The 26,171-nt window shown below is 49.2% G+C and overlaps 1 protein-coding gene and 1 long non-coding RNA gene across 4 annotated transcripts in view, besides 1 other annotated feature; both read left to right on the top strand.

Annotated features, from left to right (window-relative positions):
* ADCY9 (adenylate cyclase 9) overlaps window positions 1-19,568 on the top strand; it is a 163,056-nt gene extending 143,488 nt beyond the window's left edge. For 2 of the 3 annotated variants that reach the window (NM_001116.4, XM_005255079.4), the window contains exon 11: window positions 5,989-10,302. In NM_001116.4, coding sequence (NP_001107.2) covers window positions 5,989-7,180 — 1,192 coding nt within the window. In that variant the 3' untranslated portion in view covers window positions 7,181-10,302. Of the gene's footprint in view, window positions 1-5,988; window positions 10,303-19,438 lie in introns of those variants that run through there. The other variant, XM_011522353.3, reaches the window with a different exon arrangement.
* Window positions 10,912-11,411: an enhancer, noted in NCBI's record as "H3K4me1 hESC enhancer chr16:4011545-4012044 (GRCh37/hg19 assembly coordinates)". NCBI's record gives its function as "activates a minimal SCP1, AML or CMV promoter by ChIP-STARR-seq in naive H9 embryonic stem cells {active_cell/tissue: H9 hESC(naive)}" and the evidence as "EXISTENCE:reporter gene assay evidence [ECO:0000049][PMID:30033119]".
* Window positions 19,569-22,510: 2,942 nt separating the features above from the next.
* TRIDDENT (TRIM28 interacting DNA damage repair enhancing non-coding transcript) lies at window positions 22,511-25,346 on the top strand. Its single transcript, NR_120311.1, has 2 exons — window positions 22,511-22,683; window positions 24,126-25,346. It is a non-coding gene; the product is annotated as a TRIM28 interacting DNA damage repair enhancing non-coding transcript (long non-coding RNA).
* Window positions 25,347-26,171: the final 825 nt, after the last annotated feature.

The raw sequence follows: 26,171 nt of genomic DNA, 5'->3' as shown, positions 1-26,171 counted from the left end.
TAGCATCTTTTTTTAACCTTTTATTGATGTGTATGTCAGTATGCACAGAAGAGTACCTGATCATAAAAGGACAGCTCAGTGCATTTTCACCAGAGAACACACCCATTTAACTACCACCCAGACCAAGAAGTAGAGCATTACCACTACCCCAGAAGCCCTCCAACCCCACCGCTGCTGACCCCCTCTCCCCCGACCTGACCACCTCCCTAGGGGCAGATTTTAAATGGCACTGAAATATACCAAAGTGTCAACCGAAGCCACGTTTGGCTGGTTAGGACTGCAAGTGATGTTTGCTTTCTATTTTTTTCAGTTTTTCAATCCCTCTTCTCCATGATAACGGATTACACTGTATTTTACTCTAACTTCCATTTATGACTTATAAATTAACTCCTGCATTTAGTCACATGAAATGCCTCTTTTTGAGCCAGGTGTGGTGGCTCACGCCTGTAATCCCAACACTTTGGGAGGCTGAGGCAGGTGGATCACCTGAGGTCAGGAGTTCGAGACCAGCCTGACCAACATGTTTGTGAAACCCCATCTCTACTAAAAATACAAAAATTAGCTGGACGTGGTGGCGGGCACCTGTAATCCCAGCTACTCGGGAGGCTGAGGCAGGAGAATTGCTAGAACCCGGGAGGCAGAGGTTGCAGTGAGCCTAGATCGCACCACTGCACTCCAGCCTGGGGGACAGAGCAAGACTCCATCTCAAAAAAAAAAAAAGAAAAGAAAAAGAAATTCTTCTTTTTGAAGTGGATCTTTGCTATTTGAATTTAGGAATAGGATCGGCTCCTTTGTTCCTTTGGTATTAAAATAGGAAACACACATTCTAGCTGGGAAGCTGTCCTCGTACCTGTTTCTTACAGATGCCTTCTGTTGCGAGGCAGCCCCCTTGGTTTCTGAGTGCACATGCTGTGTGTGATGGCTTTTCTTCCTTGGAAGCAAAGGTGGAAAGCAAACGCTGTGCTCTGCCTTCCTCTCCCTCTGGCACTAGCCCATGTGCTGCTGTCCCTCCTCTGCCTGGAGGGGCCTGGCCTGCGCCCGTCTCGAGTCAGCTGTGCTGCTGGCTCCGGCTCCCGCAGATTAGAGTGAGCTGTACAAGCGATAACTGATTGAGAAGCCCAGATACAGTCTCCCATTTCCACCACAGAGACTGGAAACACCCCCTGCACATAATGGGGATGTTAGACCTTGGTGACACCTGCTCCTAAAGGGGACTGTTCTTGGTGTCACCACTTTGAGAAACCAAAAGAAAGGTCAACTCCTAACCCAACGAGCGGGGCTCACAAAACCTTCCCCCAGTCCATATTCTCTTCCTGCTCTATTTACAATCAACCAGAGGGCTCATGGAGCTGGACAGAAATATGTTTGAGTCATCATCGTAACAAATGGTTATTTTGCTTAGTACTTGAGATGTAGGATATGTAATGTCATCTGTTTCAATAGCAGTTCACGAAATGAGTCAGTGAAGCACAGGGTGTCTTCCCACTGAGGACTCTTGGTTCCTGGTCATAGGCGTTGAGTCACAAAGCCCGTATCAGGGCTCCCAAGACCAGCCCCAGGTGGACTCAGGACTCCGCAATCTGCTCTCTCACCGCTGTGATTACAGCGAAAAGACATAAGGCAGAATCAGCAAAGGGAAGGGTGTGTGAGTTGACGTTTGGAGGAAGCCGGCACCAGCTTCCAAGAGTCCTCTCCCGGTAGAGTCACACGGGATGGGCTTAATTCCTCCAGCAGTGAGTGGTGACAACACTTGTAACATGCTGCCTACCAGGGAAGCTCATTAAAGTCTCGGTGTCCAGGCTTGTATTAGGGGCTGTTCAGGTCTCCCGCCTCTGCCCAGCACGTGCCTAAATTCCAGACTTCCAGCAGGAAAGCGGGTATTCAGCGTAAACCTCCTTATTTAGACAGTGTAGGCAGTGTGAGCCGCTCTTATCAAGGAATGGCAGGAACCCTCCCCAAATCCCAGCTCCCTGGTGCCAGCCACCACCTTTGCAGGCAGGTCTTTCCAAGGATGGCAGCCTCAGGCCTTTCCTGCACGGAACCTTAGGCTGGAAGGGACGTAGCCATGCTCCAGTCCATCTTCACAGCTTACAAGCGAGGAAACTGAGACCCAGAAAGATGGCATGGCTTACCCAAGATTCTGAAACTCCCCCGCGGTCCAGCCAGGATGGGGCCCAGGGGTTCTGTTCCACCCACGGCCAGGGCTTTTGGCGGTTGTGCTTCGCAGAGGGCCGTGATGGCCACACAGGTCAAGCTCATTGTTTTTTAATATCCCAAGAACAGTTAGTGAAACTTATTAGACACTTTGATTAAAGGACTGAGCTTTTGGCCGGGCATGGTGGCTCGTGCCTGTAATCCCAGCACTTTGGGAGGCCAAGGCGGGTGGATCACCTGAGGTCAGGAGTTCCAGACCAACCTGGTCAACATGGTGAAACCCTGTCTCTACTAAAAAATACAAAAATTAGCCAAGTATGGTGGCGCACACCTGTAGTCCCAGCTACTCGGGAGGCTGAGGCAAGAGAATCACTTGAACCTGGAAGCGGAGGTTGCAGTGAGCCAAGGTCGCGCCATTGCACTCCAGCCAGGGCAACAGAGCAAGAAAGAAAAAAGAAGAATTGAGTTTTGGCCAGGCGTGGTGGCTCATCCCTGTAATCCCAGCACTTGGGGAGGCTAAGGCAGGCAGATTGGTTGAGCTCAGGAGTTCAAGACCAGCCTGGGCAAGATGGCGAGACCCTGTCTCTAAAAGAAAAAGAATTGAGCTTTCCAGTGTGATGGAGCTGTCTAAACTGTGGATCCGCCAGTCGCATATATAAGTATATAGTGACCAAGCCCATTATTGCATCAAATCAACTGGCCTACTCTGTGCGCGGGAGGAATGCATCAGGGTACAGCATTTACATGAACAGAACAGTCACGGTGTTGTAAAAAAGAAAAAGACTAGAATGCAGTTCAACAAATGTTAATAGTGATTGCCTCTGGATGGCAGGACGATGGACAAATCTTTTTTGTCTATTTTTTTCTACATTTTCTATGATGAGTATGTAGTATTTTTAAATGGGAAAAAATGTATTCCAGCACACTGGGGAGGCAGAAGCAGAACAGTTTGAACCCAGGAGTTTGAGACCAGCCTGGGCAACATAGTAAGACCTCATCTCTACAAAAAGTTCAAAAAATTAGCCAGGTGTGGTGGTGTGTGCCTGTAGTCCCAGCTAATCTGGAGGCTGAGGCGGGAGGATCGCTTTAGCCTGGGAGGTCAAAGCTGCAGTGAGCTAGGATCGCACCACTGCAGTCCAGCTTGGATGACAGAGACAGACCCTGTCTCTTCTTAAAAAAAAAAAAAAATACATATATATATATATATATATATATATATATATATATATATTTCAAACAAACTTTAAGAAATTGTGCTACTCAGCCAGGTGTGGTGGCTCACACCTGTAATCCCAGCACTTTGGGAGGTCGAGGCGGGCAGATCACTTTAGGTCAGGAGTTTGAGACCAGCCCAGCCAACATGGTGAAACCCCGTTTCTACCAAAAAAAAAATACAAAAATTAGCTGGGCCTGGTGGCGCACACTACTCAGGAGGCTGGGCCGCAAGAATCGTTGAGCCCAGGAGGTGGAGGTTGCAGTGAGCTGAGATCACACCACTGCATGCCAGCCCGGGCTAGAGAGTGAGACTCTGTCTCAAAAAAGAAAAAAGAAAAAGAAAAAAAGAAATTGTGCTACTCACCACTCATCTGCAGCCCCCTGACCATGGCTGTCTCCATCAGTGCCACTGAAGTGGAGACAGCCCCGCTGAAAGCAGGCTCAGTTATCAAAGGGAGCAGAGACTGGGCGCGGTGGCTCACGCCTGTGATCCCAGCACTTTGGGAGGCCGAGGCGGGTGGATCACGAGGTCACGAGTTTGAGACCAACCTGTCTCTAGTAAAAGTACAAAAATAATCTGGGCATGGTGGCGTGCACCTGTAGTCCGAGCTACACAGAAGGCTGAAGCAGGAGAATTGCTTGAACCCAGGAGGCGGAGTTTGTGGTGAGGCGAGATCACGCCACTGCACTTTAACCTGGGCAACAAAGCGAGACTCCTTCTCAAAAAAAAGAAAAAAAAAAGCAGAAACTGGTTCAGCCTTGTTTAGAAGGGCAATTTGGAAATTTCTAAGGAAATTCTAAATGTGCAATATTTAAAATGACTCAGCACTTCCATACGCACAAAGATAGGGGTAGGGGAATATTCCCTGTGACACTGTTTGTGGTAAGAAAAGACAGACTCGGGCCCAGTTCCATCAGGGGGAATCTGGCTAAATTACAGAATTTCCGAGTGCTGGAACACTGCACAGCCATGAGAAAATAATGGCACTGGTTCAGATGTTAGCATTGTCCTGAGTGATTTCGGCAAAAAGAACTAACCCAGAATCAGGGGAGATGGCGTCTTGTCAAACTTTTTTATACAGGTAGAGAGTATAGAACTCATAAAAGCTATTTGTAAAATGATAAGTTTATTGGATTAGAAATCTAAGAACCAAGGCCAGGCGCGGTGGCTCACACCTGTAATCCCAGCACTTTGGGAGGCTGAGGTGGGCGGATCACCTGAGGTCGGGAGTTTGAGACAAGCCTGACCAACATGGAGAAACCCCGTCTCTACTAAAAATACAAAATTAGCTGGGTGTGGTGGCACATGTCTGTGAACCCAGCTACTGGGGAGGCTGAGGCAGGAGAATCACTTGAACCCGGGAGGCGGAGGTTGTAGTGAGCCAAGATCTCACCAGCAACAAGAGCAAAACTCCGTCTCAAAAAAAAAGAAATCTAAGAACCAAATATATCAGAGAATGTTAAATTTCTTGGGTATGATGATGATATTGTAGTTACATAGGGAAATATCCTTATTCTTAGGAGATACATGCTGAAATATTTAGAGCTGAAGTGCCATGTCAGCAACTTACTTTCAAAAAGTTCATTCAGCAAAAAGCCGGGTGCAGTGGCTCACACCTGTAATCCCAGCACTTTAAGGCAAGCTGATCACTTTGAGATCAGGAGTTTGAGACCAGCCTGGCCAACATGATGAAACCCTGTCTCTACTAAAAATACAAAAATTAGCCAGGCATGGTGGCACACACCTATAGTCCCAGCTATTCAGGAGGCTGAGGCAGGAGGATCACTTGAACTCAGGAAGCAGAGGGTGCAGTGAGCCAAGATCGCACCACTGCACTCTAGCCTGGGCAACAGAGCAAGACTCAATCTTAAAAAAAAAAAAAAAAAAAGATGTTAGGCCAAGCACAGTTCAAGCCTGTAATCCCAGCACTTTGGAAGGCCAAGGTGGGAGGATGGCTTGAAGTTACGAGTTTAAGACCAGCCTTGGCAACCAGCAAGACCCTGTCTCTTCAAAAAAAAAATTTTTTAATTAGCTAGGTGTGGTGGTACATGCGTGTAATCCCAGCTACTTAGGAGGCTGGGCAGGAGGATCGTTTGAGCCCAGGAGTTTAAGGCTGCAGTGAGCCATGATTGTGCCATTGCACTCCAGCCTGGACAACAACCATGTCTCTAAAAAAACAAAGGAGAGAGAGAAAAGAAAAGATTTTTGAAAGAAGCTAAAGACTTCTAAAAAAAAAGAAAAAGAAAAAGAAAAGAAAAACGATTACCAAGCACTTACTAAAGATGTTAGTTACAGGGCTGGGCACAGCAGCTCACGCCTGTAATTCCAGCACTTTGGGAGGCCAAGGCAGGAAAATTGCTTGAGCCCAGGAGTGCAAGACCAGCCTGGGCAACACAGTGAGACCCCACCTCTATTTAACAAAATGAAATCAATCAGTTTCAAAAGTTAGTCTTTATCCCTCCATACCTTCAGCCAGCCCAAACCAGGAATGGGCAGCTTGACAGCTTCAGGTTGTTGAAGGCCTGGACTCAACAAAGCTTTGCGTAGCTAGCGGGGCTGTTCTGAGCTTGGAAGCGCCGAGCAGTAACCTCTCCCTTTCCCGTGTCTTTGCTCTCCAGTTCCGAGAGGAACCCGTGCAATAGTTCGGTGCCGCGTGACCTCCGGCGGCCCGCCAGCCTCATCGGCCAGGAGGTGGTTCTCGTCTTCTTTCTCCTGCTCTTGTTGGTCTGGTTCCTGAATCGCGAATTTGAAGTCAGCTACCGCCTCCACTACCACGGAGACGTGGAAGCGGATCTTCACCGCACCAAGATCCAGAGCATGCGGGACCAGGCAGACTGGCTGCTGAGGAACATCATCCCCTACCACGTGGCTGAGCAGCTGAAGGTGTCCCAGACCTACTCCAAGAACCATGACAGCGGAGGGGTGATCTTCGCCAGCATCGTCAACTTCAGCGAGTTCTACGAGGAGAACTACGAGGGCGGCAAGGAGTGCTACCGGGTCCTCAACGAGCTCATCGGGGACTTTGACGAGCTCCTAAGCAAGCCGGACTACAGCAGCATCGAGAAGATCAAGACCATCGGAGCCACGTACATGGCGGCGTCAGGGCTGAACACCGCGCAGGCCCAGGACGGCAGCCACCCGCAGGAGCACCTGCAGATCCTGTTCGAGTTCGCCAAGGAGATGATGCGCGTGGTGGACGACTTCAACAACAACATGCTGTGGTTCAACTTCAAGCTCCGCGTCGGCTTCAACCATGGGCCCCTCACGGCCGGGGTCATCGGCACCACCAAGCTGCTGTACGACATCTGGGGAGACACCGTCAACATCGCCAGCAGGATGGACACCACCGGCGTGGAGTGCCGCATCCAGGTGAGCGAAGAGAGCTACCGCGTCTTGAGCAAGATGGGCTATGACTTCGACTACAGAGGGACCGTGAATGTCAAGGGGAAAGGCCAGATGAAGACCTACCTGTACCCAAAGTGCACGGATCACAGGGTCATCCCACAGCACCAGCTGTCCATCTCCCCAGACATCCGCGTCCAGGTGGATGGCAGCATCGGACGGTCTCCCACAGACGAGATTGCCAACCTGGTGCCTTCTGTCCAGTATGTGGACAAGACATCTCTGGGTTCTGACAGCAGCACGCAGGCCAAGGATGCCCACCTGTCCCCCAAGAGACCGTGGAAGGAGCCCGTCAAAGCCGAAGAAAGGGGTCGATTTGGCAAAGCCATAGAGAAAGACGACTGTGACGAAACAGGAATAGAAGAAGCCAACGAACTCACCAAGCTCAACGTTTCAAAGAGTGTGTGAGGCGGCGCCCACCCGCTGCCCGAGGTGCTCTGTTTGTCGAAACACAGTAATATTTGTATTTGGCTGTTGTGCTTTCCAAGCGCCACAGTTGCCCTCCCCGGACGTGGTGTTATGTGGTCATTTCAGCCCTAACTTCTGTGTGGATCACAGTTATTCAGGGTTCATTTTCATCCATTCTTCCCTTTCGCTCCCTTCCCTGGAAACCCCGCTGCCTCTGGGTCATCCGTTCAGCACGTGGTGGAGAACAAGTGCCTTCAGGGCTGGCCTCGGCCTCGAGTCTCGGGACAGAGGCCGCCAGTGGAGATCATGGCTTTGGGTATTATTTGACTTTTAGAACAAAAGCTGTGGTTAAGATCTCATTTTTATTGCTTTTTCCCACGTCCCACGAGACACTATTTTCGGTTCTCTGGCTAATACCCTGTTTTTGAGTTTATTTTGTTTCTGTCTATGTCACAGTGTTCCTCTACGACCCGACCTCTCTATGTAAGCACACATGCGCACACACACTTGCATTCATGAATCTGATATAAAGTGCCAGTAATCCGCCAAGAGGGGGTGCGAAGGGGGCATGTCACGACAGCTCCGCCACCCCCCATTGCCCACCCGCACTTTCCCGAGCACCGCGCCCCGTGGGCTGTGGGTGAGCCGCGCTCCCTGCACTGAGCGGGTTTAGGGGCTCGCCCACATGCATGCAGGCCAAGACAGCAAATGCCAGCCGGGCACGACGCCCGTGTGCCCAGGCCTCGGGGGTCTCAGAGCCGCCTCTCACCCCCGACCCTCCACCCAGGGGTCTCCCCATCGGGAGTGGAGGTGTTGGTCCTGGAAGCTGACTCATCGGAGAGGGAAATACCAAATAAACATCCGAGGTTGCATTTATTTATTTATTTATTTACCCGGAAGCATGTGCGCTCCCGGGAGGGGTGCTGGGTCCTCAGGGTGGGGGGTCATAGCCACAGGGGAGGGCAGTTCCCAGGAAGGTAACCAGATGTCTCTTTTGTGTTTTGGCCACCTGGGGCCGCCCCCAACCTCCCCACCCCAAGAGGGGTCTGAGTGGGACCTCAAAGCATGGCCAGTGCAATTCTGAGGCTAGGGGAATAGGAGAAGCCCACCAGCTGCCCCTGCCACCCACGGGGGCTCCTCCCTGCCGGGGTCCAGCTCAGAACCACGGGGGTCTGTGCCGGCAGCACCGGTGCCATCTTGGCTTCCACAAATTCCAGAAGTTTCTTGGCTGCCTCCCGCTCTCAGATGGCACAGGGCCTATCAGTGGCAGGATTTAATCTGGGGAGCAAATTCCAGCTCTGAAATGGAGTTCTCACACCGTATCTAGGGACAGAGGCATCTGGATGCAAACGCGGGGTTTGTTAGGGGCGGAATCCCGAGGGTGGTGTGGGGGAGCTCCGTCCGGGCAGTTGGCTGCTGGTCCTGTCTGATTATGTTTTGCCATATTGAGTCTGAAGTTTGTGTGGAAGTGAGCTCGCCCGAGTTGTCCGGTCGGAGTTGTAGCCAGTCTTTCAGGGGACCCCGGGACGCTGATGAGGCCCAGGGTGCACTCCTTGTCAGTCTTGCCCGTTGTCCCTGTGCATTTTGCTTTCCGCTGTCAAATCTCACTGTCTCGTTTTCACACCGCATCAGTCCCCATCATCACTACTCCTCCCCAGAGACATACAGATTGCCCTCCCCGGCATGAAGAAGTCACAATTCTGACCCGCCACCTCTCCAGGGGCGGTGCCTGGGATGGCCACCCATCAGGACAGCCAGAGCCAGGGTCCCGGCGTCCTGAGAGTCCAGGGCACCTCCCCCCATTAGCTGTAAGGTTTCCTGTCAGGTGTGACTGTCAGTTTGCTGGTCTTCCAATACCGAAGAAAGGGTGGTTGTGACAATACCTCTTGCTTCTAAAGAATGTATTATAAAACACCGCAGATTTTTTTTTTTCCTTAAAAAACACTACCTGATGCTTTCCTTGTTCGTGGGGATTGTGGTCACATGAAGCTCTTTCTGCATCAGTATTAAGGTGTATATTTGAATGTCCTCCCCTCCCCTTTCCCCTCCAGGCTGTGTAGCTTTGAGGGGCTGGGCGTTTGCTCACGACCTTGCTGTCTCGCTCAGAACATGCTCCGCAAAGTTCTCCGCACACACTTCTTCCCCATCAAGCCCATTTCCTTCCCCAACCACAAAGGTGTTTGTGATTCCTCACCCCGGGAAACCAAGGAGCTGCAAAGTGGAGTCTGGTTCAGCCCCGTGCAGACTCACCCAGAGCTTAACGTTGTCTTTCAAACACCCTGAGCCTTCCTAAACAGCCAGTGCAGACGTTCTCTCTGGGCCACGAAGCCCCTCGGGTCCTCCCCGTCCCCTGCTCCGATGCATACCTCAGTGCAGAACCACAGAATCTCTGCAGCGGAAACGCCGTGCATCTCTTGTCTGTTGGCAGCGAGCACATCGTGCTGGAGACACGAGTTTCTAAGCAGCTGGCACGAGGGCTGCTGACGGCATGGGTCGTGCTTCAGGGTGGCAATACCTCTTAGGAACTTAGGGCAGGAAGCAATACTTCAGCATTGAATGTGTGTAAATAGTTGCTTTGAGTTGCAATTGCTATTTTCTTCTCAGTCCCAGCTCAGATCGAATTATATATCCATATATATATATATATATATATATATATATATATATATATATATATGGTAAACAAGCACACACAATTTTATCCAATGCAAACAAATGTAGAGCATCAGTTACAAAACCCTCGAATAGCTTGAGAGCCCCACAGGCTCTGCCACACCCGTGACTTCATCCACACTGACGTCACCCGCGGGGGCTCCCCCTGCACATTTGCACACGATCCGGAGAGCCGAAGGCCGCGTGCTTCCTGTCACATGGGCTGTAATCATTTGTAGTTTCCAAAGACACGTCTGCATTTGAATTTCTAGATTTTCGAGGTAAGGAGTTTTTTTTAATTGGTTGTTTGGAAAATCACATCATGCCTAGAATCTGAAATTGAATTAGCAAGAACCGACTGTTTGCATTTTCCATATATCCTTTTATCTGCTCTTTTTAAATTGTTAATTCTAATAATTTCAAAATGCATTCACTGAAGAAATGGACATTAAAATATTCTAAAATTTAAATATATGATGCCTGGTGTTTTCTTATTGAAAAGATGAGCACTGCTTCAGAGAGGAGGGCGGTCTTCCTTGGACAGCTCGTGTTTTCTGCGATCTGTGGCTCACCTGGGTGGGTTTGCCTTTCTTTCACGTCATGACTTCAGAAACAGGGCAAGTAGAAAACCCTGTTTGTGTTTATGTTATTTTTTTAATTGGATCTATTTGCTCCAGTTAACTTGAGTTGAAAAGTATTTATTTTTACACAGAATTTTTTAAACAATAAAAGTAAGGTTGCAGGACAAGTTTTGCTTGTGAGATTTTCCCTGTCAGGCCTCCTAAATAGTTTTCTGCAACATCCTTAGAGAAGGAATTGAGGGGGAAAAAGTAGGTTTTCTGAAAAGGAAAGAGTGATTGCAGGTACACAGATCACTGGGGTCCCAGGTGTTTTGAGGAAGTCACAAAGCCCCTTCAGAATCTGTTTAAAGTCATAGAGCCTCTTCCCAGAAAAACACACATGCCATTTTCTACACTTCTTGGGAGTTCACCACACTCCCGCATCTGAGGCCAAACTATGGATCTTCCAGGGGTTAGAGCCCCTTCCCCTGTAGGGGTTTTCCTGATGAGTTATTTTTTTTTTAATTTTTATTTATTTAGACAGAGTCTCACTCTGTCACCCAGGCTGGAGTGCCGTGGTGCGATCTCAGCTCACTGCAACCTCTGCCTCCTGGGTTCAATCAATTCTCGTGCCTCAGCCTCCCTAGCAGCTGGGATTACAGGCATATACCACCACACCCGGGTAATTTTCATATTTTTAGTAGAGACAGGGTTTCACCATGTTGGCCAGACTGGTCTCGAACTCCTGGCCTCAAGTGATCCGTGCGCCTCAGCCTCCCGAAGTGCTGGGATTACAGGCATGAGCCACTGTGCCCGGCCTGGTAAGTTAAGTATTTATGACCAACTTCAGGGCACAAAGATTCTTTTGTAGACTCCACAAAGGGAGCTGAATTCATGGCTTCTGGTGGTTGCTCATGGACTTGCGGGGGTGCAGCCTCCAGCTGATTCTCTGCTGGAGCCCGGGGCCAATGAGGTTGCTGTTTGATGAGGTCACTCTCCTCCCGAGTCGCCACTGCAGGCCTCCCTGGTCACCTTTCCAGCTTAGGGAATAACCCGTCCTTGCTGCCTTGAGGGTCTTGTAAGAATGGAGGTTTTGTTCGGTTTTTTTTTTTTTGGAGACAGGGTCTCATTTTGTCACCCAGGCTGGAGTGCAGTGACCATCAGGGCTCACTGCAGCCTTGACCTGCCCTGACTCAGGTGATCCTCCCACCTCAGCCTCCTGAGTAGCTGGGACTACAGGTGCGCAACACCATGCCCAGCTAATTTTTGTATTTTTTTGCAGAGACGGGGTCTTGCCATGTTGGCCAGGCTGTTCTCGAACTCCTGGGTTCAAGTGATCCGTCCTCCTCAGCCTCCCAAAGTGCTGGGATTACAGGCATGAGCCACCGCGCCCAGCCAGAACGTGGGTCTTTCTACTAGAAAGGGCACCCAGTGACTTAGAGGATTTCTCAAACAGCCAAGAAAGGCAGCCTCTAATTTTTGCAATCAGCCCCAGAACTGATCATTTGTGGTTTCTCTTTCATCTGAAATCTTGTTCACATGGTTGCTTTTCCCCCACTGTGGGAATCTATGGCTGTGGCCACCTGGAATAGATCCCGCGTACTGGGAAAGTGAAACTAACCGGAGAAAGCCAAGAGGAAGCGATTAAGAAAAAGTACACACTTGCACGCAATGGACATGTACATTTAAAATCTTCCCAAGTGTCTATTTTTATACAGTTCCTTTTTAAAAATTGTTTTTTTAAATATCATGACTCTAAAGAGTTGTTAATGAATATTAGAGTAATTTAAGCTTAGGGAATTCTCGTATCCCTGCTGGCCCTGAAAGTCTGAAGGAGATGTGAGTTAAGTAATCCGCGTGCCTGTTAGAGTCTCAGTCAACAGCGGGGATTCTTCATTGTTTTTTTTCCGGGGTGGGGACAGGTTTGGCTCGCAAAGGCTTTGATAGTTTGATGAAGGTTATGGTTACTTTGTCCAGAAAAAATGCACATAAAAACAACTTTTGATTTTTTGTTGTTGTTGTTTCGTTGCTTGGTTTTTTTGAGACAGAGTCTGGCTCTCTCGCCCAGGCTGGAGTGCAGTGGTGCGATCTCAGCTCACTGCAACCTCCGCCTCCCAGGTTCAAGTGATTCTTCTGCCTCAGTTACCTGAGTAGCTGGGATTACAGGTGCTCGTGCCACCATGCCTGGCTAACTTTTGTATTTTTAGTAGAGACAGAGTTTCACCACGTTGGCCAGGCTGGTCTCAAACTCCAGACCTCAGGTGATCCACTTGCCTCAGCCTCCCTAAGTGCTGGGATTACAGAAGTGAGCCACCGTGCCCGGCCAAATCTTTTGATTTTATATATAATTTCAGGAGTCCACGAATGCAAATAGAGTGCCCCTGATCCACGGTAACCAGAGGAGAGATGACTTTTCATTCCAACTCTCTGCAGATGAGGTTTCCTAGCGTTTCTGGACTCTCCGCTGGAAACCTGATTTGGCATGTTAATGCTACTCATTGTTACATGCGTTTTTATTTTATTTATTTATTTTTTTTGAGACAGAGTCTCACTCTGTTGCCCAGGCTAGAGTGCAGTGGCACGATCTCAGCTCACCACAACCTCCACCTCCTGGGTTCAAACAATTCTCCTGCCTCAGCCTCCTGAGTAGCTGGGATTACAGGCATGCGCCACCACGCCTAGCTAAATTTTGGATTTTTAATAGAGATAGGGTTTCACCATGTTGGCCAGGCTGGTCTCGAACTCCTGACTTCAGGTGATCCACCTGCCTTGGCCTCACAGAGTGCTAGGATTACAGCCATGAGCCACTGTGCCCAGCGTTGATACATGCATTTTTAATCAAAATTATATTTTAGAATTTAATGTGTGAGTTATCTAAATATATTTGAAGAGCTGCTTAAAAAACGTTTCAGTACACAAATATGTTAGTTGAATTATTTCCAACAGATAAGTAACATCCAGCCAGTATTTGTCAAGCGACTACTGTGTGCCATATAATGCCCTAAACTCCCTTTACTTAGGTTTTTTAATTTACCTAGGTTGTTAAATTTTCTGCAATACATGAGAGCATTTGAGAAACAGCTGTGATTAGAAGCTGTGCTTGTCCCAGTGGCTTTACCACTGTGAATTCCACTTATAAACTGAAGGGACTTTCCAGATATGAGGAATCAAGTACGGACATTTTTTTTTTTTTTTTTTTTGAGATAAGAGTCTCACTCTGTCATCCAAGCTGGAATGCAGTGGCTCAATCACAGCTCACTGCAACCTCAACCTCCCTGGCCTCAAGCCATCCTCCTGTCTCTGCCTCCTAAGTAGCAAGGACTACAAGTGCGTGCCACTACGCCCTGCTGGTTTTTGTATTTTTTGTGGAGATGGGGTTTCACCATGTTGCTCAGGCTGGTCTCAAATTCCTGGGCTCAAGTGATCCATCCACCTCAGCCTCCCAAAGTGCTGGGATTACAGATGTGAGCCACCGTGCCTGGCCAACATTTTTAAATAGGGCTGTTAACGTCAACCCTAACGCATGCAAGATGATTTTTTTGTCCATGGCTTTATGGAGAGTTCAACCTCTGAATAAAAAGCAACCGAGGCAGGGCATGGTGGCTCCCGCCTGTGGTCCCAGCACTTTGGGAGGCCGAGGCGGGAGGATCACCTGAGGTCAGGAGTCAAGACTAGCCTGGCCAACATGGTGAAACCCTGTCTCTACTAAAAATACAAAAATCAAATCAGCCAGGCGTAGTGGTGGGTGCCTGTGGTCTCAGCTACTTGGAGGCTAAGGCACGAGAATCGCTTGAACCCAGGAGGCAGAGGTTGCAGTGAGCCAGGATTGCACCACTGCACTCCAGCCTGGGCGACAGAGCAAGATTCTCTCAAAAAAAAAAAAAAAAAAGTAACCGACGAGAAAGATTCAGAGAAAACAACTGCACCACTTCTGTGTTGGTTCCTTGATGAAGGAGCTCATGGCAGCTGCTGCCCATAAGATCATCTTTTTTTGTTTTTCTTTTTTTTTTTTTTTTTTTTTGAGACGGAGTTTCACTCTTGTTGCCCAGGCTGGAAGTGCAATGGCGCGATCTCGGCTCACTGCAACCTCCACCTCCCAGGTTCAAGTGATTCTTCTGCCTCAGCCTCCCCAGTAGTTGGGATTACAGGTGCACACCACCACACCCGGCTAATTTTTTGTATTTTTAGTAGAGATGGAGTTTCACCATGGCTGGGCTGGTCTTGAACTCCTGATCTCAGGTGATCTGCCCGCCTCAGGCTACCAGAGTGCTGGGGTTACAGGCGTGAGCTACCGTGCCCGGCCCATCCATTTTATTTTTAAAATTCCTCCCTCGGCAGTGTTTGGGGTCCTGGCGGGAGGGTCCCAGAGCCAGGCAGAACAAACACTGGCTTGGGTTGGCTGGTGAGAGTCTTTCAGGGTAGTGTATCCTCCCGCAGAGCCCCCGCTGCTCTTTGAGGGAAGAGCCGATGGTTGGGGACCCAGACGTCTCTGCCAATCCCCCCCAGCCCTGGCACAGTGGAGGCAGCCCTAGCCCGGCCTCCAGCTGCCCTCCCGAGAGCTGCTGTTTCTGTGTCCTGTCTCCCTCTGACCTTCTTTATTTTCTCATCAAACAAAATCCGTGCCCTCTAGGATGAGAGGGAGATGAACGGGACCAGAAAAGTTTGTTTGGATTTGTGCGTGTGATCCTGGGATAACGCAAAACAGGATCGGGAAGGATGTGAAAGGGTTCAGGGAGAGAGGAGCGAAATGCCCGCGCCCCGCCCTGACACCCCGCTCTGCTCAGGACGCCCGGGGGCACAGACATGCTTGTGCCAAGACGCACCTGAACCGCCCCCTAGCCCTGCCCTCCCAGGACCCCCATCCCGTATTCTCCACGGCTTTCTAGCCTTCTCTATCTCCTCCAGAACTGGCCTGTGGGAACCCTCGGGTCTCAGCTCAGCCCAGCTCCAGCTTTGGTTCTGCGTCTCTAGGACATTTATTCTTCTCCAAGGACACACCTGCCTTCCTCAAGCCCCAGGATGCCACGGTTCTGCACTCCGCCTGTGGCCTCCACCCCCATTCCGCCATCACCCTCCCCCTCCCTGACTCTAGGACTGTAGATAAACCTTCAGCAACAAGATCACCAGGCACTGCTTTGACTTCAAGAGAATGACTTTTCCGCCAGTAAATTCTGTTTTCACATACGCAAATATGCCTCTACCTGGAAGATAGTCTGCTGTTATGCTATGCTTTTCTGCCAACGAGCTGAAAACCCCTGGAGCCTCCTCTGGCCTCAGGATGCCCCATTGAAGTGTTGGCAGAAGGCTTTTCTGTTTATCAGGTTAGAAAGCCCAGGTTCTAACTGGGCATCATTGGCCACAGTGTTTTTGCTGGTAACAGCCAGAAACAGAGCGCGGTATTACAGCCAAACGGTTTCTTTTCCTTCCTCCTCCTTTTCAAGGAAAGAACGAAGAACCCAGATGGAGGGGGAGGGTGTGAGTTTAATGTCAGGCTTAGACAGTAGTTCAGAAAGTGACCACGAGGAAAAATGTATTTTCCCCCTTCTCCCTCCGTCGCTCTTTTCATAAGATTCATTGCTTAAATTATGTGTGGAATATTTATTATCTAGTGTATGCTTAGAATGGAGAAATGTTTAATTGCTCAAATAAGCCTGATCTCTGAAAATCCTCAACTCGGTGTCTACAGAGTAACCAAATTATCCAAATGGTCATAGGGGAGAGGCAAGGTTTGCTGCACATTTGTGCCTCCATAGAAAAGACAGATTGCTGGCCGGGCACGGTGGCTCACGCCTGTAGTCTCAGCACTTTGGGAGGCCAAGGCGGGCGGATCACTTGAGGTCAGCAGTTCGAGTCCAGCCTGGCCAACATGGTGAAATCCAGCTTCTACTAGAAAAAAAAAAAAAAATTAGCCAGGTGTGGTGGCATGCACCTGTAATCCCAGCTACTTGGGAGGCTGAGGCAGGAGAATCGCTTGAACCTGGGAGACAGAGGTTTCAGTGAGCCAAGATCATGCCACTGCACTCCAGCCTGGGAGACAGAGGGAGACTCCATCCCCCCCCAAAAAAAAAAAAAAAGCTCATTGCGCTGGTGTCTTGTCCTTCCTGCTGTTTAACAGAAACAGAAGATGTTCCTTTAATGCAAAATCAGTTTTCCCTAACTTGTTGATTACACAATAAATTCTATCACAATTTTTTATTGTGTTAGGTAGTTTTTTAAAAGCCATTATTGTGTATTTCTAGTATTTCAGGCACTTAGAAGGAAAGAAAAGAAATATTACTTGCCCATTTAACTTGAATTATCATAGAATATAATTTGAGATTTTCGTGGCAATTGGAGCTCTCAGGTGAAAAAAAATATGACTTTGCCTGGGTGCAGTTGCTCATTCCTGTAATCCCAGCACTTTGTGGGGTTGAGACGGGAAGATCACTTGAGCCCAGAAGTTTGAGACCTGGGCAACATAGTGAGACCTCGTTTCTACAAATTTTTCTACAAAAAATCTTGTAGAAATTTTTTCTACGAAAAATTTTTCAAAATTAGCCAGGCACGGTGGTGTACACATATGATCCCAGCTACTTGGGAGGCTGCGTTGGGAGGATCGCTTGAGCGCAGGAGGTGAAGCTGCAGTGAGCTATGATCTCACTACTGCACTCCAGCCTAGGCAACAGAGCAAGACCCCAAAACATTTTTTTTAAGCTTTAAAAAAACCTAAATTTTGGCCAGGTGTGGTGGCTCACCCCTGTAATCCCAGCACTTTGGGAGGCTGAGGCAGGTGAATCACAGGGTCAGGAGTTTGAGACCAGCCTGGCCAATATGGTGAAACCCCATCTCTACTAAAAATACAAAAAAATTAGCTGGGCGTGGTGGCATGCGCCTATAATCCCAGTTACTCTGGAGGCTGAGACAGGAAAAGTGCTTGGAACCTCTGGGAGGCAGAGGTTGCAGTGAGCCCTGAGATCGCGCCACTGCACTCCAGCCTGGGCAACAGAGCAAGACTCCGTCTAAAACAAACAAACAAACAAACAAACCTAAATGAAGGACATCCGTAGACTTCTAAAGTCCTCATCCAACCTGATGCCTGGAGACTGGGTTTTGTTTTGGCTTCTTTTTGAATATTGAAGAATGTCATTTATGTGAACTTTCAGGACATTAATTCAATTAAGAGCTAAGAAGATAAGGTGCAACTGTTTTATGTATTTATTTTATAGAGATGAGGTCTCACTATGTTGCTCAGGCTAGTCCTAAACTCCTGGCCTCAGGTGGTCCTCTCTCCTCCACCTCCCAAAGTGCTGGGATGACAGGCGTGAGCCACCTCGCCTGGTCCAACTACTTTTTTTTTTTTAATGAGAGACATTTGAGGCAATTTTTGACGTAATTTTGGATAAAAGCATGCCTTTTTCCTAAAATATTTCAAATGAGACAAAATGAATTTATTGTATGAATCAGACCGTGACCCAAATTCTTCTGGGTCACTATTTACTTTTCTTACACAGCCAGTACCAGGGTCCACTTTCTCTTCTTTTCAGCCCCTCATTTCCAAGTTCCCCCGTCTCTTCATTCACCTGTCTGTTATACTGGCAGAATGATGACAGGCTCAGACCTGCGTGCTTTGAGAGAAAATCTAGCATGTTCTAGTACGCTAAGTTTGTGGCATGACATGTAGGCGTGTCCCCCTCAGCCTCTACCTCGGGATAGTTAACAAAACTCCAAAAGAGTTGGCTGTGTTCCCAACCAATGGCTCTGTCACTGCCTCACACACAGGGCCTCCCCATCTGTGTCCACAGTAATCATCGCTGTGGATGGCTCTGCCAAGAGCTCCCCTGTGTGGACTCCAGTGTTGCGGCTGCTCTGAGATGGCCTCTTCCTTCCCTTACTCCTGCAAAGCAGCAACCTCCCAGCATCAACGTGCGATGCTGGCCCTCAGCCGGCCCCCTTGGCTTCTTGGTGAACCTCGTGTTCCGTTTCTGACGCTTTTCCTGGTCTGGACCCTACTCACTGGCCCAGAGGGAGACACTCCTAGCCATTCCCTGTAAGCTGCCACTAAGTCCCGGAGGTCCCTTCTGGTTTCAGCACCAGGCAGCTGCCCGAGCTGCGAGCTGGGAGTTCTGGGCCTGATCCCGGCTCAGAAAGAGGAACTTCATCCATTCGCTCCTGGGCTGGCCCAGCAGCAGCACGCCAGGCTCTCAGACCAGTGTGGGGCCCAGAGAGCCCCACCCAATCCCACCAATTGGAATTAGGGGAGGGCAGGGACAGAGCAGAGGACAGGCTGGGAATGCCCAGAAGAGTGGATGTCGAAGCATCGTCGTTCACCAGGACCCAGTGTCTGCAAAGCTCAGCTCCCAGCCTGCCCCGGCCAGCTCAGCGACGCCCGTCCTGCAGCTCTGCATGTCAGAAGCCACTGGACGGGGTGCGTCAGTGGGGCCTCTGGGTACATCCTCCTCACCCTGCAGCATTAAACCAAAGTGCTAATGATAACACCCAGATGAGTGCCAAGTGGAAAAATCAGAGCCTTACCATCCTCTGTGAAATCCTGAGTCAGTTTCACGCTTTGTAGGCATTTTAGGATTCAGCCATCCGTGAGATGATCCAGTTATTCCAATCAAATTCCACCTTCTCAATCCATGCAGCAATCCTCACACCAAAAACCATTCTGGGAGGCGTAAGAGCTGTGACGCGGCTCTGACAGCGACCTCCCCGTGCTGATGGTCACTTTGTCCCCACAGGTTGCCAGAACCTGATGTTTTTGCTGTTCGTGGTGTTGGATGGCTGCAAAGGGGTGACGGCGGTTCAAGCAGGCTTCTGACTTGTCCGTCGTATCCCAAAACCGGCGTTTTTTCCACACACACTGGCTGAAGCTTCCTACCTGTGGGCTTGGGAGCTTGCTAGTCACAGAATAAGGAAATCCACAGGTGTTAAAGAATCCGTCCATTCCAAAAGCGTGGATGGTTTTTTTTTAATCATCATGTTTTCTAGAAATTGCTCGGTTTTTATTTCTTTCCTCCCCTCTAACCCTCTTCTTATCCGCATTTTCCCATCTTCTCTTTTCCAGAAGACGAGAACCCTGTGGAGAGGGAGACTCCAAGTTTCCCTTCAGTTCACAGGAAGAGAGTTGCCGTGCAGGAGCCTAATTGTAAATTTGAAAAAATTAAAAACTGCTTATGCTCTGTCAATTACCAAAACGAGGAAGGACTGTATCTGTGAAATACGTATATATTTTTTGAGATGGAGCCCCGCTCTGTCGCCCAGGCTGGAGTGTAGTGGCGCGATCTCGGCTCACTGCAACCTCTGCCTCCCAGGTTCAAGTGATTCTCCTGCCTCAGCCTCCCAAGTAGCTGGGACTATAGGCACAGGCCACCACGCCCAGCTAATTTTTGTATTTTTAGTAGAGATGGGATTTCGCCATGTTGGCCAGGCTGGTCTCGAACTCCTGACCTCAAGTGATCCGCCCACCTCAGCCTCCCAAAATGCTGGGATTACAGGCATGAACTGCTGTACCCGGCCTGGTTGTTGCATTTTAATGTACTGAGCCAAGCACCAGGCTCCAGGGACACTGCTACTAGGTGGCCTGTCCTTGGCTCTGATGCAGGCGCTTCCAGGAAGAATGGGCTGCAGCTCTGTGCAGCCTGCCTGTGCTGGGCCAATGTCAGCTCCCCTTGCTCGAACAGGATTGGCCAGAACACGCCCTGTGCCTGCGAGCAGCCTTGAATGCCACTGGGGATTTGAGGTTTAGGCGTCCCGTTCCTTGAGCAGGAACCTCTGCAGAAAGGCAATTAGAAGAACAAAGTGCCCTCTCCCTGACGGTCTGTCTCCCTCACACCAAAAAGGAAGGTGAAGCTTCCTTTTTAAGGAGACCCCTTTTTAAGAACCACGGGGTAGCTGTGGTGGTTCACGTCTATAATCCCAGTGCTTTAGGAGACCACAGTGGGAGGATCACTTGAGCCCAGGAGTTTGGAACCAGCCTTGGCAACAGGGGTTGGAGGCTGCAGTGAGCTATGATCATGCCACTGCACTCCACCCTGGGCAACATAGTGAGACCCCATCTCTACAAATGATATAAAAGGCACCTGGGGGTGGTGGTGCGTGCCTGTGGTCCCAGCTATTCAGAAGCCTGAGGCAGGAGGATCGCTTGAATCCAGGAGTTCAAAGCTGCAGTGAACTGTGATTGTGCCATTGCACTCCAGCCTGGGCACCAGAGCGAGACCCTGTCTCTTAAAAAAAAAGAAGAAGAAGAAACATGTATGAGATAGAGCGCTGCAAATCTGGTTCCAACTTTCTCTGTGATTTTGCTGGAATTTGTTCAACACTGAGCTCACAGACAGCAGTGAACCAAAACTTGTTTTCTTTGGACTGCTTTGAGCAAAAATAGAAGAAAGGGGCTCATTTTTTTCCAGTGATTTTTTATTTTTCATCAATAGTGCAGATCCAAAGTAAGTATTTATTCACTGGCCTGATTTCCCAATCTTTTAACTTAGAAGTATGATTGCCAGTTTCCTAGGTTTTTAAGAATACGCTGAAAACAAGCTGCCAAGCTTAGGAGCCGAGAACCATAGAAAGTTCTGTCCATGTGCTTGGATCAGATTTCCAGCACAAACTGTGATGTGTACATCGCTTAACTCGGAGTCTGACTTTTGTTAGCTGTTGTTGGATGAACAGGTGTGTGCAGCGGATGAGTAACATGATACAAAGAGAGGTTGTACTTCCGCTGGGAGGAGAATGGGCATTTGGGTTTTTGTTGTTGTTGTTGTTTAATTTCAGCCCAACTGTTTAGAAAGAAAATTCTTGCTGTCTTTACCACTTTGTGCTGCACAGGGAGGTGGGAAGGAGGATGTTAGACGTGCGTATTAACAAATGCTCTTATGGCTACATTTTTTGGTCCATGCAAAAAAAAAAAAAAAAAAGTTCGTCTTTTTTTTATCCAGTTATCAAACTTGTGTAAAAATAAGAAAGTATATCCTTAAATAGAATTGTGCCCTGGAAGGAACCCAGATGGCTCTCTTGAGATTAAAATAGTCATCCCAGCCGGGCACGGTGGCTCATGCCTGTAATCCCAGCACTTTGGGAAGCCAAGGCAGGAGGACTGCTTGAGGCCAGGAGTTTGAGACCAGCCTGGCCAACATGGTGAAACCCCCTCTTTACTAAAAATAACAAAAATTAGCTGGGAGTGGTGGTGGGTGCCTGTAATCCCAGTGACTCGGGAGGCTGAGGCAGGACAATCACTTGAACCCAAGAGGCGGAGGTTGCAGTGAGCCGAGATCACGCCATTGCACTCCAGCCTGGGCAACAAGAGCGCAACTCCGTCTCAAAAAAAAAAAAAAAAAAACTTAGGGACATCATTCTCAGTTTTTTTTAAAGGGTACTAGTTTTAGTTTTGATTTACCAATTTATGTTTCCGAGACGTTTTTTCAATGAAGTGAGTCACTTTTGAACTATTGTGAGGCACTCATTCTAATTTCATGGCTCTCAGTTTACAGGAACATAACATTTGATGCCAATGAAATTCATTAGAATTCTGCGCTATCCTGTGAACTGCGTGCCCATCTGTCTTGTATGTGTTTCCAGGGGTGGCTTACAATGGTCTTCGCCATGTACTGGATGGACGTGTACTTATTATGAATCCTCACACCCTGAGACCCAAGAGGATCCCTCGTAAAACAAGGCCATATCTGATTTGGATTAAAATCCCCACGGAGAACCTGATGTCACCCAGGAAAGTGCACGTCTCCTTGCGTGCTCTTGAGAAACGGTTGAGAAAACAGTCCTTCCAGCTCAGTAAATACCATTTTCTTTCTGTCTGCTCACCACCCTTGCATTTGCAATAAACCTGACAAAAACTTCCAGAGCGAAAATAAGAATGTTCATATTTGAAGGAGATGTTGGCAGACGGCCACAGACTTCAAGTACGCAAGCTCATTCCGCTCTTGCTTTTCTGCCAATAACTCCTTGGCCTCCGCGCACTCTGCACAGGCGGGGCCTGAGGACGGATCATGATCGTGTCCGATGATCACGGACCCGCCGGAGACTCTCAATGGAGAGGCGATGAGTCACAGCCAAGCGAACTTTCTCTGCTCCTGAACAAATTGCTTCTCCTCGTCGTCCCACTCCAAACCTAGAGGTGGGACAACCCCAGCATCCTGGGCGTGAACGCACCCAGCTTGATTGTCACATGGGGAATAGAGACCTCGCGCCTGCCTGGCATAGGCCAACCCAGTAATGTTCATTTAAAGCTGGCTTTACTAGTCCTTCTTCCACAATGAGAGGTGACCCTTCACTTCACCGAGAAAGGAAGGAAGAAAGGTAGGTGCAGGGAGGAAGTGGTGGGGCGAGGGGAGATGGCCTGAGTGGGGGTGAGAAGGAACGAGAAACAGGAAGGAGTCAAATGCCTTTACTGCTTTTAAAGTGGATTTGACGGCCAGTAGGATTACAGGCCGGGCGCGGTGGCACACATCTGTAATCCCAGCACTTTGGGAGGCCAAGGGGCGTGGACTTGAGGTCAGGAGTTCAAGACCAGCCTGGCCAACATGGTGAAATCCTGCCTCTACTGAAAAATACAAAAACAGGCAGGGTGTGGTGGCACACACCTGTAATCCCAGCTAGTCAGGAGGCTGAGGCACAGGAATCGCTTGAACCCAGGAGGCAGAGGTTGCAGTGAGCTGAGATCACGCCACTGTACTCCAGCCTGGGCGACAGAGCGAGACTCTGTCTCAAAAAAAAAAAAAAAAAAAAAAAGAATTAAGTTCGTCTCACCTTGTCCAAAAGCCATGGACACAGTTGAGATCACCTCAGGAGACCAAGGGACCAGCTCAGCAAGGGCAGGCCCCTCCCCACAACAACGGGTCCTGGAATGTTCCAGAAACATTTTAAAAATTGTGTTGTATGATATTTGTCAACGAACTCAGCCTCTACTGTCCCCACTCTTCTCCTGGTTGGCTGGACACAGCCGGACCCTTGGAAAGTGGGTGGGGGTAGGGAGAGTGGTCCCAGGAGTAGGGCCAAGGGCGGGAGGAAGGGGCTGATGACAGAGGCTATAAATAGCCAGGCAGCTGCTTGGCAGCTGGTGCAGGGAATTGTCTGGACGAGGGGATGGCGTCCAGGAAGGGAACAATGAAACGGCACCGGTCAGAGAGCAAACAGAGAAGGAGGCGGTGGGGTGAGGGCGCAGAGTCGCTCTGGTCCTTCCTCCCCGACTGGTGTGACCCTGCGCTTTTGGGGGCGCAGAGGGGAACCCTGGACAGCTCTGGAGGCAGCAGAGGGAGCCTCGTGCTTCACCTCCTTGGCCCAGAACCCACATCTGGCTCAGGACTGGACAAAAGAAAGACAGCCTGTCACCTAAGCTTTTGCATCGGAGGAGTCTGCCTGCTGGGGCGGTCGTGTTGTTTGCGCGTCAGTGTGGGCAATATTTTTAAACCCTTTAAGTTTTTGTTGGGGTGCAACTTCCATCAGTAAAGTGCACGTAGCTCGGTGAGTTTTCACACACTGATGCACCCATACAGCTATCACTCCGAACAAGATATACGACGTTTCTAGACGCTCAGCAGACTCCCTTTGCCGCCCAAGGGTCACCTCTGTTTCCATCACTGTCATCCTAGATTGCGTCTTCCTTTTGACTTCGGGGTTGAGTCATATCACAGAAATCATGCAGTAAGGACCGTTCTGTGTCTGGCTTCTTTCACTCATCAATCCGCCTAGGAGATTCCTCCCTGCCGTGTGCAGCAGAATTTTGTTTCTTTTCATTGCAGCATAATATTTCATCGCGTGAAGAGGCCATGATTTCTCCGTTCCGCTGAGGATCGATTGAGCTGTTTCCAGTTTGGGGCGCGATGAACAATGCCGCAGTGAGGATTCTTGTCAGTGCTGGCGTATCTCATGATAGGTTTGGAAATAAATTCTGATGGGAATTAAAACTGGTGTAACCTCTATAAAGGGCCATTTAGCAAGAACTGTCAAAATGTAAAAAACATGCGCCCTTCTGGGAATTACTTCTACAGATCTGCCCGAACATGCAAAATGTCTCATGCACCAGGTTCTTCTTTGCAGCATTTGTTTGCAAAAGCTGAGGTGTAGCAACAACCTAAATATCCATCAATAAATATTTATCCATCCATAGACTAGAATACCAGGCAGCCACCAGAAGGAATGAGAAAGCTCGGTACCAGCAGGACCTCCAAGTTAAGTAAAAAAGCAAGATGCTGAACAGTACATATAGTTCTCCACCATGTAGATTAAAAAGGGACGGAATACATTTGCTTGTATTTGCATAAAATATCTATGAGTATAGTCAAGAAATAGATAATATGATCTATGTATGCGGGATGCGGGGAAGGAAGATGTTTCCGTGTATATTCCTTGGTAATCGTTGAATTTTAAGCCATATGAATGCATTGTCTACTCAAAAACTCAATTTATTGTGAAAAGACTAAAAACCACTGAACTGTACACATTAAAATTCTATGGTATGTGATTTAGATCTCAGTGAAAAATATATATTGAGGATGGGCGAGGTGGCTCATGCCTGTAATCCCAGCATTTTGGAAGTCTGAGGCAGGTGGATCACTTGAAGTCAGGAGTTTGAGACCAGCCTGGCCAACATGGTGAAACCCCGTCTCTACTAAAAATACAAAAATTAGCTGGGCGTGGTGGCGAGTGCCTGTAATCCCAGCTACTCAGGAGGCTGAGGCAGGAGAATCGCTTGAGCCTGGGAGGAGCCAGAGGTTGCAGTGAGCCCAGATCACACCACTGCACTCCAGCCTGGGCAGCAGAGCGAGACTGTCTCAATAAACAACAACAAAAAAAATTACATTTAAAAAAACTTAGGCTATGGGGCCCAGCGTGGAGGCTCACACATGTAATTCCAACATTTTGGGAAGCTAATGCCGGAGAATCGCTTAAGCCCAGGAGTTCAGGACCAGCTTGAGCAACAGTGAGATTCCATCTGTATATTAAAAAAAAAAAAAAAAAAATTAGCCAGGCATGGTGTTGCTCACCTGTAGTCCCAGCTGCTCAGGAGGCTGAGGTGAGAGGATCACTTGAGCCTGGGAGTTCGAGGCTGAGGTGAGAGGATCACTTGAGCCTGGGAGTTGGAGGCTGAAGTGAGCCATGAGGGCGCCACTACACTCCAGCCTGGGTGACAGAGTGAGAGCCTGTCTTTAAAAAACATATAATAATAATAATAATTAATAATTAAACAAATAATAAGGCTTAGACTAAGAGGGAAGGCAGAGCACACTCAGGTGCATTCGGCCTTCTGGATGCTACCAGGGAATGCCAGACCTCCGGGAGAAACAAGAACCCACGTGTTCTCAAGGCGCCCAGCCCAGCCCAACCTGTGGCCCTCCAGAAACTGTCGTGGTCATCCTCCATTCACCTGTCTGTTCATTCATCAACTCACCCTTCAGATAGCTGCAGAGGACCTATGATCACCAGGAATCTCCCCATGAGCAAACTATGGGGCACTGGGAAGACGGTGGCCACAGTTAGAGGTGGGAGCCGCACAGGCAGATGGAACCGCAGTGGCCGCAAGCCCTGGAGGATCTTCGGCCGTCCGTGCTGGCTTGGAAGCCCTCCTGGGTTTCTTTACACGGACTTAGGGCTTTGGGGACTCTGGCTGGGGTGACCTCGACCTGTGCCGAGCCTCCAAAGATTCCTGTAGGCGCTGCACCCCGAGCGGAGACTGCAGCTCGGCCTCCCTGCGTCTGCACTGCCTCCCCTGCTGCAGGGGTGTCCCCAAGGGCCTGGGCCGTGCTCCTCCTACCGCAGCTCCTGGTCCTGGCGCCTCCTCCATCCAG

This window comes from Homo sapiens, chromosome 16 (assembly GCF_000001405.40).
Source record: "Homo sapiens chromosome 16, GRCh38.p14 Primary Assembly".
NCBI classification, from domain to species: domain Eukaryota; kingdom Metazoa; phylum Chordata; class Mammalia; order Primates; family Hominidae; genus Homo; species Homo sapiens.
The sequence above is the reverse complement of the archived record's forward strand: the minus strand, read 5'-3'. Positions and strand labels throughout refer to the sequence as shown.